The 19,717-nt window shown below is 38.0% G+C and overlaps 2 protein-coding genes across 3 annotated transcripts in view; both read right to left on the reverse strand.

The window, feature by feature from the left end:
- Positions 1–19,717, reverse strand: part of LY75-CD302 (LY75-CD302 readthrough) — a 136,129-nt gene that overhangs the window by 32,152 nt on the left and 84,260 nt on the right. The window contains exons 29-34 of one of the 2 annotated variants that reach the window (NM_001198759.1): positions 18,947–19,141; positions 16,027–16,253; positions 14,626–14,794; positions 9,747–9,896; positions 7,670–7,792; positions 6,194–6,361 (exon numbers count right to left, since the gene is read on the reverse strand). In NM_001198759.1, the coding sequence (NP_001185688.1) occupies positions 6,194–6,361; positions 7,670–7,792; positions 9,747–9,896; positions 14,626–14,794; positions 16,027–16,253; positions 18,947–19,141 (1,032 nt within the window). The remainder of the gene's footprint in view (positions 1–6,193; positions 6,362–7,669; positions 7,793–9,746; positions 9,897–14,625; positions 14,795–16,026; positions 16,254–18,946; positions 19,142–19,717) is intronic. The other variant, NM_001198760.1, reaches the window with a different exon arrangement.
- The window catches only part of LY75 (lymphocyte antigen 75), a 101,402-nt gene continuing 84,260 nt past the window's right edge, over positions 2,576–19,717 (reverse strand). The window contains exons 29-35 of the mRNA NM_002349.4: positions 18,947–19,141; positions 16,027–16,253; positions 14,626–14,794; positions 9,747–9,896; positions 7,670–7,792; positions 6,194–6,361; positions 2,576–4,443 (exon numbers count right to left, since the gene is read on the reverse strand). Coding sequence (NP_002340.2) covers positions 4,265–4,443; positions 6,194–6,361; positions 7,670–7,792; positions 9,747–9,896; positions 14,626–14,794; positions 16,027–16,253; positions 18,947–19,141 — 1,211 coding nt within the window. The 3' untranslated portion in view covers positions 2,576–4,264. The remainder of the gene's footprint in view (positions 4,444–6,193; positions 6,362–7,669; positions 7,793–9,746; positions 9,897–14,625; positions 14,795–16,026; positions 16,254–18,946; positions 19,142–19,717) is intronic.

Here is a 19,717-nt window from a genome sequence, read left to right on the forward strand (position 1 = left end):
TTTTATATTTACAATAGAATTGACATCCTAATGAATCAATCTAATTAAGGCAAAACCCATTTTAACACTGTCATTTTAAGTCATTTGTACTAAAGAAAATTATATTATTTTATTGTTAACTCTGGTGCACACTGCCTCATTTTTGATGCTAATCTGATGAAATAGACTACTTATTGCCTGTATGTGGGTACTGTTATATTTCGCTCTCCCATTTACTCTCCAGTTACACCTCATACCCTTAATTTTCCTTCACTCTGTCTCCAACTTACATCCTCTTTTGGCTCATGCCAGACTTCAGTCCCTTGCCTGCATTTTTCTCAGCCTTTTATTTCTCCCTTCTCCACCCAGCCGAAATACCACATCCTCTGTCCCCTTGTTCCCCTGGTGTGCTCACCTGGCCAACTCGGAATCTGTGGTCTCCGCTTTCTTCTTCATGCTTTTTTTTTTTTTTAGACGGAGTCTCACTCTGTCCCCCAGGCTGGAGTGCAGTCGCGCTATCTCAGCTCACCTCAACCTCCACTTTATAGGTTCAAGCAATTCTCCTGCCTCAGCCTCCCGAGTAGCTAGGATTACAGGCGTGTATCACCACACCTGGCTAAGTTTTTTCTATTTTTAGTAGAGGTGGGGTTTCACCATGTTGGCCAGGCTGGTCTTGAACTCCTGACCTCAAGTGATCTGCCCGCCTTGGCCTCCCAAAGTGCTGGGATTACAGGCATGAGCCACCTCGCCTGGCCCGTGCTCTCTTTTTCCTCAACTTTACTGAAGTTAACTGAGGACAGGTGGAGGAAATCAATCAGTTCTCCCGATGGCTGTCACTATAAACAATATGGCTTTTAATTTCATCTGGGCCTTCTATGCCTCTTCTGCAATCCTTGTATTTGATTTTACCTTAGTCACTGTCCTCTCCTATTTCTCTCATTGAGTCTTTCAAATTTATTACTCTTTTCAAGCTAAGATCCCAGGCTGGGTATGGTGGCTCACACCTGTAATCCCAACACTTGGGAGGCTGAAGTGGGAGGATCACTTGAGCCCAGGAGTTTGAGAGCAGCCTAGGTAACATTGAAATCACCTGTCTCTAGGGAAAAAAAAAAGTTAATGTTGGAGGTCGAGACTGCAGTGAGCTAGAGTTGCACCACTGCATTCCAGCCTGGGCAACTGAGACAGACCCTGTCTCTAAAAAATTAAAAAACTTTTTAAAAGACCCCATCTGCTACCCATCTTTCTCAGCAGACCTTGCCTTCTAGTACACAAGAAAACAGGTGCCATTACATATAGACAAACATCTTCAAATGCTTATCTGCAGTTCTTCTCTTGTGGTCTCAGAGAGGAAGGCATGCTTCTCCAGCCCACCCAAACCAGTTCCTCTTTCTGCTTAGGACTGCCCCTCTCATTTTATCTTCTCCAAGATCTTCCATTAATGATTCCCTCTCCCCACTGCATCATCAACTTCTCTCTGTCCATTATTTTTGTTTTTGTTTTTGTTTTTTTCATCTCAGCTTCTAAACTTGTGAACCTCTTTCTCTCCCCTTTAGAAAAAAACCCTTTTTCAACCCTTCTTTCCCCTCTGGCTATGGCCCAGCCCCTTTCCTTTCTGTCTCCATCATACTTCTCGAAATCTCATGTTCCTCATCTCCTAATTTCCCTTTCAATTTTTTTTTTTTTTTTTTTTTTTTTTTTGAGACAGAGTCTTGCTCTGTCACCCAGGCTGGAATGCAATGGTACGATCTCAGCTCACTGCAGCCTCTGCCTCCTGGGTTCAAGAGAGTCTCCCGCCTCAGCTTCCCAAGTAGCTGGGATTACAAGCATGCACCACCACACCGGGCTAATTTTTTTTTTTTTTTTTTTTTTTTTTTGTATTTTTAGTAGAGATGGGGTTTCACCATTTGGCCAGGCTGGTCTCAAACTCCTGACCTCAGGTGATCCACCCACCTCGGATTCCCAAAGTGCTGGGATTACAGGCACGAGATGCCACACCTGGCCTTCCCTTTCACTTTTAAACTCACTTCCATCTGGATTCTGGCTTCACTACTCTGCTACATTTGCATTGGCTAAGATGGTCATTGGTTTCCTAATTCCGAGAATCCAGTTTTATCTGACTTTGCCTTTCCAGTATTCAGCAATTGGATCAATATCGACTTGTTTTTCAAAACAGGGTCTTGCTCTGTCACCCAGACTGGAGTTCAGTGGCACGTTCATAGCTCACTGTAGCCTCAAACTCCTGGGCTCATGGGATCCTCCTGCCTTGGCTTCTTGAGTAGCTGGCACTACACATGGGTGCCACCACACCTGGCTAATTATTTTATTTTTTTTTAGAAATGGGGTCTTGCTTTGTTGCCCATGCTGAACTTGAATTCCTGGGCTCAAATGATCCCCCTGCCTTGGCCTCCCAAAGTGTCAAGAGGGATTACGGGTGTGAGCCACTACCCGCCTATTTATTCTCTAAAAAATGCACACAAAATCTCTTAGCAAATGCCTCGCTTTACAATAGGTGGTCAATTTATTTCTTGTACTATATGCCTAACATAAAAAACCCAATCTAGAGATTTTTTTTTTCAAGAAGGATCAACTCCAGCACTTTTACTTTTACTTAAAAGATAAAACAACTTTATTATGACATCACCATTATATACAGCTGTGCTTTTCACATCAAGTTGGCTTAGTTCTTGGAGGAAAGTCTTAGTGACTAAAATTGTACACAGATCACAGGACAAGAGAACTAGTCTAACAAATTCAATAAGAAATCAGGACAACTGTAGACTATATAAAAACTGTCTTAGAAAATTATTTACAACTTTATCATAGTGTAAATACTCTAAATGTAAAATAAATCTATGGATTTTATACAAAAATAAAGTACAAATGTAAGTTAAATGCCGAATAAAACATTTTCACCTTTTCCAGTGGATGCTATTACTAAGACTATAATCTAGGTGTCAAAACTTAAAGTGATAACCACAAAGCAATGTTTTCTTAATCACTCATAATTTTACATTTGTTAGTAGTCATCACAAGGTTTAGAGTTCCACTGAAAAAGTCTCATTTTTACAAATGCAACTCATACACTTTCCTTCATGGACCCTTTCTCTGTTTAACACATGTTAAAAAAGTAAAACAAAATTCTTAGTCAAAAGTTGACATGCTATGTGAAGCATATAAATTGTAAAATTATCAGTCTTAAATACCTAGTTGATTCTCTTTACAAAAGAAACAGTCATGTAATACATCAGAAAATGCAAAGCACACTGCTACAAGGTACCTACTCAATCTAAAAATAATGTTCCCACACTTGGGAAAATGTTAAGCACTAAATCTTTAAAAGTCATTGTTTTATAAACAATTATAAACAGAAAAAAACTCTTCATATTTACATAATAATGGTATGAAATAACTTTGGAATAATATAAGAAACATCTTGCCAAGAGGAATCATTTTGCTATATAAAAAGTAAGCAGAGGCCAGGCGCGGTGGCTCATGCCTGTAATCCCAGCACTTTGGGAGGCCGAGGCGGGAGGATCACCTGCGGTCACGAGTTCGAGACCAGCCTGGCCAACATGGTGAAACCCCATCTCTACTAAAAATACAAAAATTAGCCGGGCATGGTGGCAGTTGCCTGTAATCCCAGCTACTCAGGAGGCTGAGGCAGGAGAATCGCTTGAACCTGGGAGGCGGAGATTTGCAGTGAGCCGAGATCACGCCATTGTACTCCAGCCTGGGCAACAGAGAGAGACTCAGTCTCAAAAAAATAAAAATTAAAAAGTAAGCATGTCTTATTGTTTATTTTTCCCCAGTGCTAAAAATGACTATTTTGAAACAATGCTGATAGAGTTTACAGTTCAATTTTTACTTTGAGGTACTAATTTTGCATTTGGCCGGATGCTCTTAAAAATTAAAAAGTAGACATGTCACCTAGTAATATGCCTATTTTAATTTTCTAAGAAGTTTTGTTAAAAATTCTATTAAAATATACATATCCTAGTTACCAATCACATTCATACAGAGAAAATGAACATTAAACATATTACTGTACAAACAATTTGGACTTCAGTTCCAGCTTTGGAGTCCCCTCCATTCTATTAATTAGGGTGATAAACATGGCATTTAGCAGGGAATTAACTGTGGATACCAGCACATGCCTAAGATCTAAACAACTGAAAAAGTATTTAAGAGTTCTACTTTGGAGCAGAGTAAATACTGACACTGGGACATTTTAAGTGACTAATTTCTCATAACACATTAGTGCAAATTAGAAAACTTTTAGAAGAATTTAGTCATGGAAAGAAGGAAGCATAATCTCATCTTCATTCACTCCTTGTGCATATCGAACTGATGAGAAACCCGCCAGGTGCAAACGGTGCCTTTGGAAGAGGAACCAAATCAGTCCGCCCATGAGAACTAAGATACTTAGTGTGGCAACTATGATAGCTATTGCTGTGTAATCAGGGCCTGGAACAGGAAAAGGTTTGATGTTGGAGGAGAGAATACAAAAGTGATCATTATTGATTTTATACATTATGGGTTGTGTCACACATGTAAACCTGTAAGCTGTATACAGACATAATAAATCTGATTGTTTCATAGCGCTAACATAGAATTCAAACTCATCGTCAGATCAAAAGAAACACTTAAGTGATTTCTTTTCAAATGTAAGTGTTTTCCTATTCATTCAAATCCTCTTCATTGTGATAGGAATTTTCTTCCAAAGACATTAATGCGCTATGATTATTCTCACATTCCCCCTTCCTAACACCAATTTGGGAACATCACTACTTGTATATTATCCTACTTTGATAGCAAATTGCTAAAAGCTATAAATTTTTGTTTTTGACTTACCTGGGGCTAAATAAAGTGTTATTTGCTTCAAAATGATTTAAGTCTCTCAGATGAGTTCATTTAGTGCAGCTGCTGTTCCAAGACCCTTATCTGCATACTGCCCAGATGGATTCGCTCTGTTCCATGACTTTAAATACCATTGCTATGCACACTACACATCTCGTCCCTCTATGGATAACTCAAAATGGCCAACGTAGAACTTTTGATTTGCAACACCCTAACTCTGCTCCCACCCAACCCCCCAAATCTTCCAGTTGCTTTCCATTCCACTCAGAATAAAACCAGAACTCAAGCCTTGCTTCCAAAGCTCTGTATGTCTAGCACCTGCCTACCTTTCAGTTCTTCCCTGAGCGCTCAGCCAACTTGTTCTGCCTTAGGCTCTTTGCTCCAACTGGTACCTCTGTCTGTTATGCCCTTTCCCTTGAAGTTTGCTTGGCTTGATTTTTTAGATCTTAGCTTCGGTGTCTCCTGCTTCTAGGCTTCTTCCCTGGTTTCCTAATCTAGAGTAGCTATCCACTGAGTCTCCATCACATAGAGTTTATAACTATTTGATATTTTCCTCTCTTTAAAAAATTGACCTGTTTACTTATCTTTCTTCACCAGATTGTAATCTCTGTGAGAACAGGTACCTTATCTGTCTTGTTCTCAGGTGCATCCCAGTGTGCAAAACAGGGCATGGCATATAGTAGACACTCTATTTACTGTCTCAGTGTGTGTATACATGGATACTGATTACCTAGAATTGAGGTTTTATCTTTAATATTTATATACAAGAAGCAAAAGTTTTATGCAAGATCTTTAAAAATGTTACTGTGAAAAATTTGGAGCTCTTTCTCCAGAAATGAAGTTAATATAACATTTTAATGGTAATTTTATGTATCAATTCATAATGAAATGTAAGTTCAAATTATGATTTTTTATAGATACCCTGAATGTTTTCAATAACTAAATCCAGTTTTGCATTGTTTTAAAATTAACCATGAGTTTTATGGGATTAGGAAGAAAGGAAGCAAATTAACTGCAGAAATAGACCTTTAAGCTTTTATATAATCAAACTATAGAATAAAATACATCTCAAGAACATTTTAAAAGAAATTACTTCCCTAATACCCTGGCAACTTCTGTTTTTCTTAGGAAAGAATTATATAAAATGTAGACTGGAGTCCTGGACATCTTGTGCAGTTATCGTCCCTTGTAATCTATTTTTCAGGGGGAAATCTCTATGACTTAATCAAGATAGTTGGATATACTTTAAGGACTAAATACTTCAAGACTAAATACAGAATTTTGTACATAATTGGATTGTACATTTATTTCCTGACTGTTCTGCAAAAAGTCTCCTAAGGACAGGTTCCATACTTACCCAGAGGCACTTTGCAGACAACTCTTCCAAAACCATGTTCACATTCAACTTTTTTCCAAGTTTCATTTGAAGCTATCAACATGCTACATCTTCCAACACCACTCTTACTTTTATTTTCCCATTTGACAAATGTCACTTCTGATCCATCTAACCAACTCCAAGACTGGTCTGAAGAAAGAAATTAAATACAACTATGTCTACTGCCACTAAACTAGTAAGTTACAAGCATGGGTTCATGTAACTCATCAGAACTGTGCTGTCCAATATGAGAGCCACTTGTTAAAATAAAATGCATTAAAAATGAAAAAAATAAAATCAGTTCTTCAGTTGCACTAGTCACATTTCAAGTGCTCAAGAGCCACATGTGGCCAGTGACTACTATATTGGACAGTGCAGATATAGAACATTTCTGTCTTTGTAGAAAGTTCTATTGGACAACACAGATAGAGAATGTGGTGTTTCCGTTAAAGTGCAGAATGCTTGCACATTTATTTTGTGAGGGAGAGATTTCTAAGGACCCATATCCTTCCCCTACTCTAATTGTAAAAAGTCATATCATTAAAGATATGCTGGTGGAAGAGGAAGGGTGCAGGAATCTCCATCCCCACCTTTCTCCCACACCACCACCAGGACTCCATTTTTGCTTTCCAGCTGAAGTGGCACCACCTTGTGGTGACAGTGTAAACACGATTTAGGATTCATTTAGATGGACAACTTGGAATCCTTTTATTTTTTGACAAGTACTTAACATTTTAAAATTCACATTTTAATAATTTAAAATTCAACTTTGCATAAAATGTGAAAAACCTTATCTTCTGTCATATTTGTACTCTTATTTCTACCAATTCCAAGTTCACCTAAACCCTGTATCTACTATTTCGTATTAAAAAATCCTTCCACAAATTTTCTTTGAATCAATTATCTGCAATTTTATAGGTTGGCGCAAAAGTAATGGCAAAAGCTGCAATTACTTTCACACCAACCTAACACTAAGACAGTTTTTAAAGATTACTATTAAGACATAATTTTAACCAGTGGTAAAAATATTCTTAGAGAGAAGGGAATAACAAGAAGATAACTTTCTGAATAACGAAGTTATAAGCTGCAAATCCATGCGGTGACAGGCACTAGAACTCTAAGAGAAGGCAGGCATGGGTTCCTTGTGGGGACACAGACATTCCTGTGGAGAAGAAAATGTCCTGATGTTGATCCAAGGATCCCAGAAATAAGCCTCTAGAAAGATTCCACTTTATTTAACAGGATTTTCTGTGTCATTAGTGGTTTCCGTCATTGCTAAGTTAACTCATGGATTCATTCAAAATTTATAACCATCCAGAACAGCCAGCGACCTAGCTTATTTATCCAGAAGAGGCATCTGAATTAGCCACTACTTAACATTCTTTAGCAAGGACGACTTGTTATTTAGGATGAGTTAGAACTCTCTTTGCACACTACACATACAATTATTTCACTTACCAACAGAATGTTGAGATAATCCAAGCCAAACTCTCATGGTAATGTTATTATTTTCCCTCATCAGTCTGCTCACAAATTTATTCTCATCTTCATCTTTTATGGAAACGATAGTTGCAGAGTGATCTGTTGAAAGAAAACACATTCTCAATTAGCTTTATGGAAACTAGAGAAGTAGTTTATTCTCAACTAGCCATTTGAAAAATACATATATTATTAACAAGATCATTGATAAATTCAAGCCTTACACAGAGACAGTTTTTAAAAACTGGTATTTAGGTCAAAATTTTATAAGTACTTCAAAAAAATTACTTCCAAACACGTATAAAGAAATTTTGTGTTTCTTCAAAATATTTATCTGGCAATATTTTTTTGGCCCTGGAACTGCCTACCCCTGAGACCTCTCTGACTGTTCAGATGAGAAAAGAGAAAGAGTTGTGTAACCTCCCAATGCCACTTAGCTAGGATATGTGGGAACTGGGATTTGAACCCAGACCCTCATGCCTCCAAGTCTTAAGTGCTTAACCTACATATTAGTTTTACAGTAAACCATTCTGTTTTCTCCTTTAGGAGAAAAAGGTTTATGACTTTCAAAACATACATATATCTTACAACAGTTTCCATCATGTGTATTCAGGTATAAAACCGAATGGTTCCCACACAAAAGTTCCCGGTAACTACAAGATTTTTCAATCAGTCAAGTGTCTCCACAACGGTTATCAGAATAAATTAGATAAATGCCATCCATCTACCTGGCTAATTTGCTACCCAAGGAAGCAGGTAAACAAGTTTTGGTCTTTGAAATACTCTAGGTAGTTCCCCTAGAAGTCATTTTACAGTTTGACTATGGATCAAATTTGTCACGGGAAAGAGCCAATCATTGCTACTCTTTCTAAAATAGCTAAATCTGAAGGCAAAAAGCACTGCCCTTTATGGTGGTCAGAGGATGTGGCCAATCCTATTGCAGAACGGATGGACAACCATACTACTTTGATTTGTTACCCTGGTGAGGCTAAGCTTATGTATTAATAACTAAGCAATGGAACAACTATAATTTTTATTTACTACTTAGCTAACTTTACAAAAATTTTACCTCTTAATTCCTTTTTCTAAGCATATCTAGCTATAGGTAAAACCGTTTCCAATCATTTGTCAGTATTTTTACTTAGCAGTTCACTTAGCCACTTTTATTTTATTATTTTACATTTATTATTATTTTTATTATTTATTTTATTTATTTATTTATTTTTGAGATGGAGTCTTGCTCTGTCGCCCAGGCTGGAGCGCAGTGGCACAGTCTTGGCTCACTGCAACCTCCACCTCCCTGGTTCATGTGATTCTCCTGCCTCAGCTTCCCAAGTAGCTGGGATTACAGGTGCACGCCACCACGCCCAGCTAAGTTTTGTATTTTTAGTAGAGACGAGGGCTCGCCATGTTGGTCACGCTAGTCTTTAATGGCTAACCTCAAGTGATCCTCCCACCTCGGCCTCCCAAAGTGCTGGGATTATAGGCGTGAGCCACCGCACCCAGCCACCACTTTAAAATTCTACTTCTTCCAACTTATTATTTTCCATGTACTTATTATTAACATTGATAATTTTTTTTTGAGATAGAGTCTTGCTCTGTCACCCAGGCTGGAGTGCAGTGGTGCCATCTCAGCTCACTGCAACCTCCGCCTCCTGGGTTCAAGCGATTCTCCTGCCTCAGCCTCCCGAGTAGCTGGGACTACAGGTGTGTGCGACCACACCCAGCTAATTTTTGTATTTTTAGTAGAGATAGGGTTTCACCATGTTGGCCAGGATGGTCTTGATCTCTTGACCTCATGATCTGCCCGCCTTGGCCTCCCAAAGTGCTGGGATTACAGGCGTTTTTAATGGCTATTCCAATATTTCATTGAGTTCCTATGTCATCAGATACTTAACCATTTCCCTACCACTGGGCAATTAGTTTATAGCGCTATTAGAAATGGAAAGTGCTTTAAAAATATTTTCAAAAATACAATCATTGCTTCAAATTATATCCTTAAGAAACATTTCTAAAAATTATTGAGTCATAAGAAAATCAACAAATTTTAACTCACCATGTTTTGAACACAATTTTTTGGCCTCTGAAAAACTGTGCAATGCCTGATCAGACTTGTAACAGTGACCCTTGTACTGGATCCACCGTGACCCATTCTCTTTTGCTGCTGGACATCTTGATGAATATGTAAGACGGGACAGCTTTTTAGCTATAAAAATGTTAGACACAGTTGTAACAATGCATGGAAAAAAAAGACTGCCTTTCAAAATCTACTTCAATGTCCCTGATTGGAACTGTTGCGTTTGTGGTTGAGTAGCATTTAACTCATACCAGAGAAAGCCACAGCCCACACTCTATAAATACATATTTTAATTAACTTTTTGGAATACCGTTTAAAAAACCTAGGTGATAGAAGTGGAAAGTGCCTTAGCTTTCTAAGACTGATTTGGACTAAAGTAGAAACAATGAGAAAGACAGACTAGAAAAAGAAGTAAAGACAGGCCAGGCAGACCTGAAAGTACTCTGAAATAATAATTAAAATTATTTCTTTCTTTGGATTCCTTTTTTTGTTTATTATTATTTTTTTTAGTAGAGACGAAGTTTCACCATGCTGGCCAGGCTGGTTTCAAACTCCTCACCTCAAGTGATTTGCCTGCCTCAGGCTCCCAAAGTGCTGGGATTACAGGCGTGACCCCACAGCGCCTAGCCCGTTGGATTCCTTTTTATTTTGATAATCTAAATAAATCTAGTTTTACTTAGTCATAAGAAGAACTATTTTTTAAAAATAGCTAATTTGTTTTACAAAGCATAATACATCAGCACCGCAACATCACTCAAACAAAAAAAGACTAGGAGTGGCTTCTTAGCTCTTAAAAATGCCCCTGGTTTCCATTTAAATTGATTTTTAATTGTGCTGAGTAACAGAAGCAGCCTGAGGAATGCAGCTTGTGCCCTTTAACACCTGTTTTTAATTCCAACCGAAGAGCATATGAAAACTGGAAAGTAAATTGTCAATGTCGTATTAGTGCGGTACAGCTTATCTGAATCAAATATCTGACCTGGTACCAGTCAGTAATCTCAACCCAAACTATTGTTTTGTAATGCATTCTGTATGATCTTTATGTCCTTCAGTAAGTAAAGGCTTTTTCTGTTTTTTTCTCCAAATCTCCACTTGGCAGAGTCCTTATTTGTGGTCTCTGTGATTAGAGAGGAATGGCGGCTACTGTGAGACTCTTTAGTGGCCCTTAGTTCCTTCTGCTGCTTCTCTATCTTCTGTTAGAAACCAGACTTGATCTTTTTGAACTTCGGTTATTTGATTGGCTTTTGCCTCCATTCTTCTCACTAACACACCAATTTGAGTACTAAGTCTTCAGTTCAGCAGTTGGACTCCTGGGTAAGTTTCCCAGCTGCTGCAGATCAAAATGCATTTGCCAAATTCATCTATACAATCTATAAAACTTCTCACAACTCCTCATCAATGCTGCTGTTGAAAAGAAATGTTACTAGTAAGTTCTTGTTTTTACCACCTTATGAAAATAGTTGGTTGGGCAAAGGTATATTGCTGATTACTCATTGTTGCACTGGGCTCAATTGTTAATGCAAAACTTGTTGAACATTGATTATTATGGCATCATTAGGATAGGGAACTTTTCTGAATGGTTTGACCTTTTTTTTTTTAACATTACTTCTTGCACTGGCAACATAAGGAACTGCCTTATCTTTGGTCTATTTGTTTCTAGTATAGTCTGCAACTGGGGTCTCTTAGGCTGCGTACATTTTTTTTTCTTCTTGTTCTTCATGAAGTTTTGCTTCCAACTCTTTTTTTTTTTTTTTCTGTAAGGGCTTGCATCGTGGTAAGTGTGTTACATTCCTGTTCAAGAAGATCCATTTTTTTTAATTGTGGTAAAATACACATAACATAAAATTTACCATCTTAACCATTTTGGTTTTGTTTTGTTTTTAGAGACAGGGTCTTATTCTGTCACCCAGGTTGGAATGCAGTAGTGCAATCATAGCTCACTGCAGTCTCAAACTCTTGGGTGCAATAGATCCTCCTGCCTCAGTTTCCCAAGTAGCTGGGATTACAGGCATGTACTACTGTGTCCAGCTAATTTTTACACGTTTTTGTAGAGACGGAGTCTTACTGTGTTGCCCAGGCTGGTCTTGAACTCCTGGGCTCAAGCCACCCACCTGTCTCAGCCCCCCAAAGTGCTGAGATTACAAGCATGAACCACCACATCTGGCCTTAACCATTTTTAAGTGTACAGTCCCGTGGTGCTAAATGAATTCACTCTGTTGTACAACTATCACCACCACCCATCTCTAAAATTTTTTATCTTGCAAAACTGAAACTCTATACCCACTAAACAATAACTCCCCATATTCCCCTCCATCTAGTCCCTGGTAACTGCCATTCCACTTCCTGTCTCTATGAATTTGACAACTCTGGGTACTACCTCATATAAATGGAATCATAGAGTATTTGTCTTTTTGTGACTGGCTTATTTCACTTAGCATACTGTCTTCAGGGTTCATCTGTGTTGCAGCATGCATCAGCATTTCCTTCCTTTTTAAGGCTTCTTATCCATTCGTCCATCCATGGACACTTGGGTTGCTTTCATCTTTTGGCTATTATGAATTATGCTGCTATGACATGGTTGTACAAACACCTGTTTGAATCCCTGCTTTCAGTTGTTTTGAGTATATACCTGAAGTGCTGGATCACATAGTAATCTTATGTACATGTTTTTGAAGAATTGCCACACCATTTTGCACAGTGGTTACACTGTTTTATATTCCTACCAGCAGTGCATAAGGGTTCCATTTTCTCCACATCTTCACTAATGCCTGTTATTCTCTGTTTTGTTTTTTTTTTTTTTGAAGATCCAGTTTTTAAAGTTAGCCCTTGTATTCGTTTCCTTGGGCTGCCATAATAAATTCCACAAAATTGGTGGCTTAAAACAACAGAAATGTATGCTCTCACAGTTCTGGAGGCTAGAAGTCTGAATTGAAGAGGGTGTTAGGATTGGTTTTCATTGGAGGCTGTATTGGAGAATCTGTCTCGTGCCTCCCTCTCATCTTCTGGTGGTTGCCGACAGTCCTTGGTTTATCACTCTGTCACTGCAATCTCAGCCTTTGTCATCACGTGGACTTTTTCCCTCTGTGTGTCTGTATCTCCCTCTTATAAGGACACTAGTCATTGGATTTAGGGCCCACCATTATCCAATATGTCCTCACCTCAACTACCTAGATCTGTAAAGACTATTTCTCAGTAAAGTCACATTCTAAGGTTCTGACTGGACGGGAATCTTTGGGGAGGAGGCACTCTTCAACCTGGTAGAGCACAGAACTTATGTCTGGCCATCTTATCATTCTCTATCCTATAAAGCCTGTTTCTCTATTTCTGCATGCCTTATTTCTCATGTATTCCAATTGTTTTTCTAAAGAGTTACATTTGTTTTCTGTGCCTAACAACTGAGAAGTCAGTTCTTGATTGTACCTTGATTCCTCATCCTTTATATCATTCTCCCTTTCTTTTATTAACCTGCTTCTCTAAAGTTTTCACATTTTCTTCGGCCTGAATCTGTTCAACCAAATGTTGAATCTGCCGTTCAAGATTCTTCAGAGCAGAAAACATGGTGAGCATTGAGAACCAGAGTCTTCGGAAACCAATGCCACCACCCCCCAGCCTGTCCTGCAGGCCTCTGCAGTCCCCGGTAGTTTGTTTTTTTGTGGTCTTCCTCAAGGTTCATGCTTTATCCACCAGGGGTGACCCTAAGTCCAGCCTCTAATGGAAGAGGCTCTTCCCTTAAACTTTAAGGATCATATAAATTTGGAAAATGCTTGGTTACACAAAGTTAAACAGACTTCATTATTACAGAAACTCTCTTAGAACCTTTGGCCAGGCGTAGTAGCTCACACCTATACTCTCAGCACTTTGGGAGGCTGAAACAGGAGGATTGTTTGAGCCTAGGATCCTAGTTCAAGACCAGCTTGAACAGCATTGTGAGACCCTAACTCTACAAAATATTTTAAATATTAGCTGGGTGTGGTGGCATGTGTATGTGGTCCCAGCTACTCAGGAGGCTGAGTTGGGAGGACTGCTTGAGCCTAGGAGGTCAAGGCTGCAGTGAGCCATGTTCATGCCACTGCACTCCAGTCTGGGCAACAGAGCTGAAACCCTGTCAAAAAAAAAAAAAGAAAAAGAAAAGATAAGAAAAGAAAAAAGAAAAGAAAAGAAAGGAAAAGAAAAGAAAAGAAAAGAAACTCTCTTAGAAACTTTAATACGGTAAATCACATGAGGTGTTCCCCAAATTTATATGTTGTGGGACCCTTTTTTGAAATAAGCATCTCAGCCTTTGAAAAACATTGCTAAGTGAAATTAGAATTCACAAATTCTAGGGTAGAATTTACCTGGTGACAGAACAAATGAAAGTCATTGGGAATAAATTCCCTGAGTGCTTATACTGTATTTGTTTCCATTTACAAAGTATCAAAATTATTTTCACAAAAATTATTTGTGAATACATCTTTTTTTTTTTTTTTTTTTTTGAGACGGAGTCTTGCTCTGTCTCCCAGGCTGGACTGCAGTGGCGCAATCTCGGCTCACTGCAAGCTCCGCCTCCCGGGTTCACGCCATTCTCCCGCCTCAGCCTCCTGACTAGCTGGGACTACAGGCGCCCGCCACCATGCCCAGCTATTTTTTTTGCATTTTTAGTAGAGAAGGGGTTTCACCTTGTTAGCCAGGATGATCTCCATCTCCTGACCTCGTGATCCGCACGCCTCGGCCTCCCAAAGTGCTGGGATTACAGGCGCGAGCCACTGCGCCCGGCCCTTGTGAATAAATCTTTAAATAAAAATTCCACTGAGCTTTTAATTATGTGCATAAATTATGTCACATTTTCATAAATGTACTGTTACTGAAATTGAAGTCTTACATTTTGTAGGTTTATAACAAATAGCACCATCCTTAACAGAGTTGCATTTTTCATGTTTCCAAGTTCCTTTTGGATCCAAGAGAACACAATTTCCAGGAGATGTTTGGCCTTTCCATGGGATATAGTCAAATGTACTACCATCAGACCATTCAAAACTTGATTCACTTCCCTGTTGTAAGAACAATAGAGATAACCTGAATCCAGATGTTTGACTTCAAAAAGAATACAAAGAACAACATACATACTTTAAGAAATATTATAATGGAATATTAATTATTTGCTTACAGTATTGTAGGTCTGAACCTACTATTATTGTAGGTCTGATTTACTTCTGATGCATTGATTTGGGACATTTGCTCTGATACAGTTTATGGAGAACTTTAAACTTACAGACAGAGTTACTACACCTGGTCTTCAGATTTTTTTGAAGGATGAGTTTATGTGACACTCGAAATTAAACAACATGCAAATGGCTTCCATTTGTCATAATTACAAATTTACAATCCCAACCTTCATATTGTTCTGAATATTGTTTTCTGTGTTTTATAGTTTTGTGTTTTGTGTCTCTGGCTACATTTTTCACACTACAGAGGACACCAAGCAGTAGGGAGCTAGAAAAGAGAAACACTTCCCAAGAAACTCAAAATGGGAAGACTATTTTTGAATTTTCCTTGAATTTATAATCTTAACTTGCCATGCTTTTAAAAAAAAATCTTCCCCACTCTGTTCTAAAGATTATTTAAATTAAAACTACAACTCTAGTCTCAATAGATAACCATTTTTTGTACACAAGACCCTACTGTAAGTACATAAATGATTAAATAATATGATTCAAATAGTGGCACAGATGTCTTTACTAGCAGAATTAATCCTAAGTAGTATAATTTTCTAGAGGAAAAGTGGGAAGAAGGTATACGTTTATTAGTCCTAACCATGTGGAGAATTTTAGATGGTACTTTGTATAAACTTTTGTGTTAAAATCTCAGTGAAATTATTATTACCCTGATTTTCTACATGAGGAAATAAGGTTGCAAAGGTTAATGATCACCCAGCACATAAATGGAAGATCTGCTACTGGTACTCAAACTCAGGGTTTTCTGATTCTATGCTATTTCATTTTTATCAGCTTTCCAATTTGTCTGTCCCAAATAGGCTATAGAGGTGTTGTTGAGATAGTCATCCACTGGGCCCTTGGGATGGCCTGATCATTTGTCCTAGTGCATGCTACAGTAAAATTTTCTATTTGTTCTGTGTTGTAAAAGGTAAGAAAGCACCATGCTATGCAAGCGGAGTCCCAGTACTTCATCTAATGTTGTACTTTGTGTTAATACTTTACGCTCAAATTTCTAACCCTCAAAATAACACATTTGAAAAGTTTCTGGAAAACGAAGCAAGACTTACATCATGACTTGAGAGCCCAACCCATAGTGGAAATCCATCACGTTTTACAATATCTTCCAGAAAGAGCTGGCCATTTTGGTTGTGAACGCTTGCCAAGTGACCTCCACTTTGAGAACACATGTTTAATGCTTCATACCATGTTACCTTTTTTTGAATAACACTGTAAATACCATCTTCATATGGCATAAACTGTGGCAGTGTAGTATTATATTCTTCTTTGTAGTCAACTATAATAATTAAAAGCACTGGTGATTAAAATTTAAATTATTTCAAATACATCTTTTGGATGAGACAACATGCAATCATTTCAAAAGTTAAATAAAACTGGGTTTCTTATTAATAAGGGAGGTCAAATGTATATTTTATTTTTCTTACTGGTATGACACATATCTTAGGCTCTTAAAGTTCTCTGATTGATATTTTAAAAGGCATAAACATTTTCTTTGATTTAAGAAGCTCATATATTAGTTGGAGACAGAAACAACAATGGCTGAAATGATGGCAAAACTGTTAACCAGTAGGGTATGTGAAATTGGTAGAGATTCATTTGAATGAGAAGAGTCAGGAAGACTACTTGATAAACCAGGTCTCAAGGGTTAGGTGAAATTAAGACTAAAAAGAAATAAGGGAACCAGAAAGTAAGGAAGTGCTTAAAACAAGCACAAACAGCAAAGCCACAATGACGAGGTTATTTCAAGGGACATGGGAGCCAAGTGAAAGAGCTCCCAAGGGCCAAAGCTGGAAAGACTTAAGCAAAATATTACAGAATGCAGTATGTTAGATTATAATCCAAAGTATAAAATAAATAACAATGAACCTATACTAGGTCTAGAGGATTGGGGGAAATCAAGAATAAAAAGAAGGTAAGGAGAAAGTATGGAAGTGCTACAAACAAACAAATAACAAAAAAACTACAATGATGAGGGTATAAATAAATGACTGAATAAATTTAAAAATTGGGGCCAGGTGCAGTGGCTCACGCCTGTAATCCCAGCATTTTGGGAGGCCAAGGCGGGGGGATCACCTGAGGTCAGGAGTTCAAGACCATCCTGGCCAACATGGTGAAACCCCGTCTCTACCAAAAATACAAAAAATTAGCTGGGCATGGTGGGGCGTGCCTGTAATCCCAGGTACTTGGGAGGCTGAGGCAGGAGAATCGCTGGAACCCAGGAGGCAGAGGTTGCAGTGAGCTGAGATGGCGCCACTGCACTCCAGCCTGGGTGACAGAGCAAGACTCCATCTCCAAAAAAATAAATAAATAAATAAAATAATAAAATAAAATAAAAATTGGAGAAAATAGACAAATATCCTGTGCAGAAGAATTTCAAGTAATTTATATCGATACTCCCCTCATAGGAAGGTGGAGGATAACTTTCTACCCTATTAAGTGTGGACTCAACATAGTGACTTCCTTGGAAAGAAGACAGTATGGAAAGGAGGAAAAGAGGTAACTTTGCAGCAGAGAACCTAACAAACACTACCTTGGGCCAGGTGGCCAGTGATAAGTCATATGAATAGTACATGCTGTCCATGTGAAGTGAGAATGCTCCCTCACATCTTTGGTCTTCCCTCAAAAACTTATAACCCCAGTTTAATCATGAGAAAAACATACGCCAACCCAAACTGAGGGACGTTCTACCAAATACATGACCAGTGTTCCTCAAAACTGTCAAGGCCAGCAAAAATAAGAAAAGTCTGAGAAAACAGCCAGCCAAGAGGAGCTTAAGGAGGCAGGAGAACTAAAGGTTAGGTGGGATCCTAGAAAGAAAAAGTATGTTAAATAAAAACTACAGAAATTTGAATAATGTGTGGACTTTAGTTAAAGATAATAATGGATAAATATTGGTTTATTAGTTGTGACAAATGTACCATACTAAAGTAATATGCCAACAGTAGGGGAAATTGATTGTAGGGTAGATGGGAATGCTCTGTACTATCTTTGCAACTTTTCTGTAACTCTAAAGCTATCCTAAAATGAAAAGTTTATTAAAGATGTAAAAAAAATAAAGAAAGAAAGAAATTGGAAAACTTCTTGGCAGAAGGAAAACATAAAGGTGCAAGTATGAGGATGGGCATACACTGTGCCTGGGACAATGAAGAGACCAGCTTGATTGAGAAAAAGATGCTTTGCTGAGCAAGAATGGGGAAAAACAGGGAACTGGGAGAAGGCCTAGAAACTGGGGATAGAGACTAAGTTTCTAAAATGTCTCAAAAGTTTACATGCACTCAAAGTAGGTTAGAATAAGGAATCCCTGGAGGTTGCTGGTGGACACGGTCTTGGGAAGTGACTGCGGCGCTGTAAGTGAGCCAACTAGCCAGCACTCCACCTTTACGGGCTCCCAGTGAGCAGGGAGCTTTGGGCACAGTGGGAGTAATGACAGTTTTAGGGCACAGTGGTAATAATTAACAGTTTTTAAGCTGTGAAAAAATTAAAACTAACATATATTTAAAAATAGATTTATTTAAAGATTAAGCAAGGTGGAGAGACATTCACTTTGCACGGAATGTTAAAACTCGTTCCCCAAACACTTTCTTATTTATATAAACCCTATCCATTTTTCAAACCCCAACCAAGTTTCACCTCTTCTTGAAGCCTTTCCTTTTTTTTTTGTTATTCCCCTTTCCAATGTATCGGTTTTGACTTCCCCACAATTTAAGCCTGTATCAATTAATCTAAGACCAATTTACATTAAACAATGATAAGGAATTTAATGCTGTCTCCACAACTACATTTTACTCCTTAGGGTCAAAACCTTGACAGCAGGGCCCGTATCTTTTCCTTCCTCGATAACCTCTGTAACACCTCGCACAGGACTGAATACAGAGGAAGCATTTGATTGTATGATTCCCACTGGTGGAACTAATAGCCTTATATTCTTTCCCTGGAGTGAAAGAAAACTCTATATTTTACTATACTTACCCATTTCAATTTTACAAGCAAGAATGCTGTGCTGGTGAAAATAAACTGCTTCTTCAATAACTTTAAAGGTTTGAATATCCCAGAAGCCGTCAGTACTTAAACCAGCCAAAAACTTCTCATTTTTTATAGTTGGTCTTCCTGCTCTCCAATGTGTATATGACAGTGGGGTCTTATCAAACCACATAAGAGACTTATCTAGAGAAGAAACATTTTTTCCTATGCTTAGAGATTAAATCAAGACTTGAATTACACTTATACAGTTAAGATTTCAAACTTGACTAATTTTCTCTTTTCCCAACCTTCTAAAAGGTTGTATGATTATGTATAACCCTTTAAGATATTTTCTGATTATAACAGTAAATCATGCTCATTTTTAATTTGAATATAAATACAAACTATAAATATTGACCTATAATTCCACCATCCTTCAGTAATAACATTTCATTTTTGTCATCAAATATTCTTTTCTTGAAGTCATTATATGAAAAAGATACTTGCACATGCATGTTTATAGCAGCACAATTCACAATAGCAAAAATATGGAACCAGCCCAAATGCCCATCAATCAACAAGTGAACAAAGAAAATGTGGTAATGTGGTATATATGTACCATGGAATACTACTCAGCCATAAAAAGGAATGAAATAATGGCATTCGCAGCAACCTGAATGGAAATGGAGATCATTATTCTAAGTGAAGTAACTCAGGAATGGAAAACCAAACATTGTGTGTTCTCACCAAGTGGGAGCTAAGCTATGAGGATGCAAAGGC

This window comes from Homo sapiens, chromosome 2 (assembly GCF_000001405.40).
Source record: "Homo sapiens chromosome 2, GRCh38.p14 Primary Assembly".
Lineage (NCBI taxonomy): Eukaryota > Metazoa > Chordata > Mammalia > Primates > Hominidae > Homo > Homo sapiens.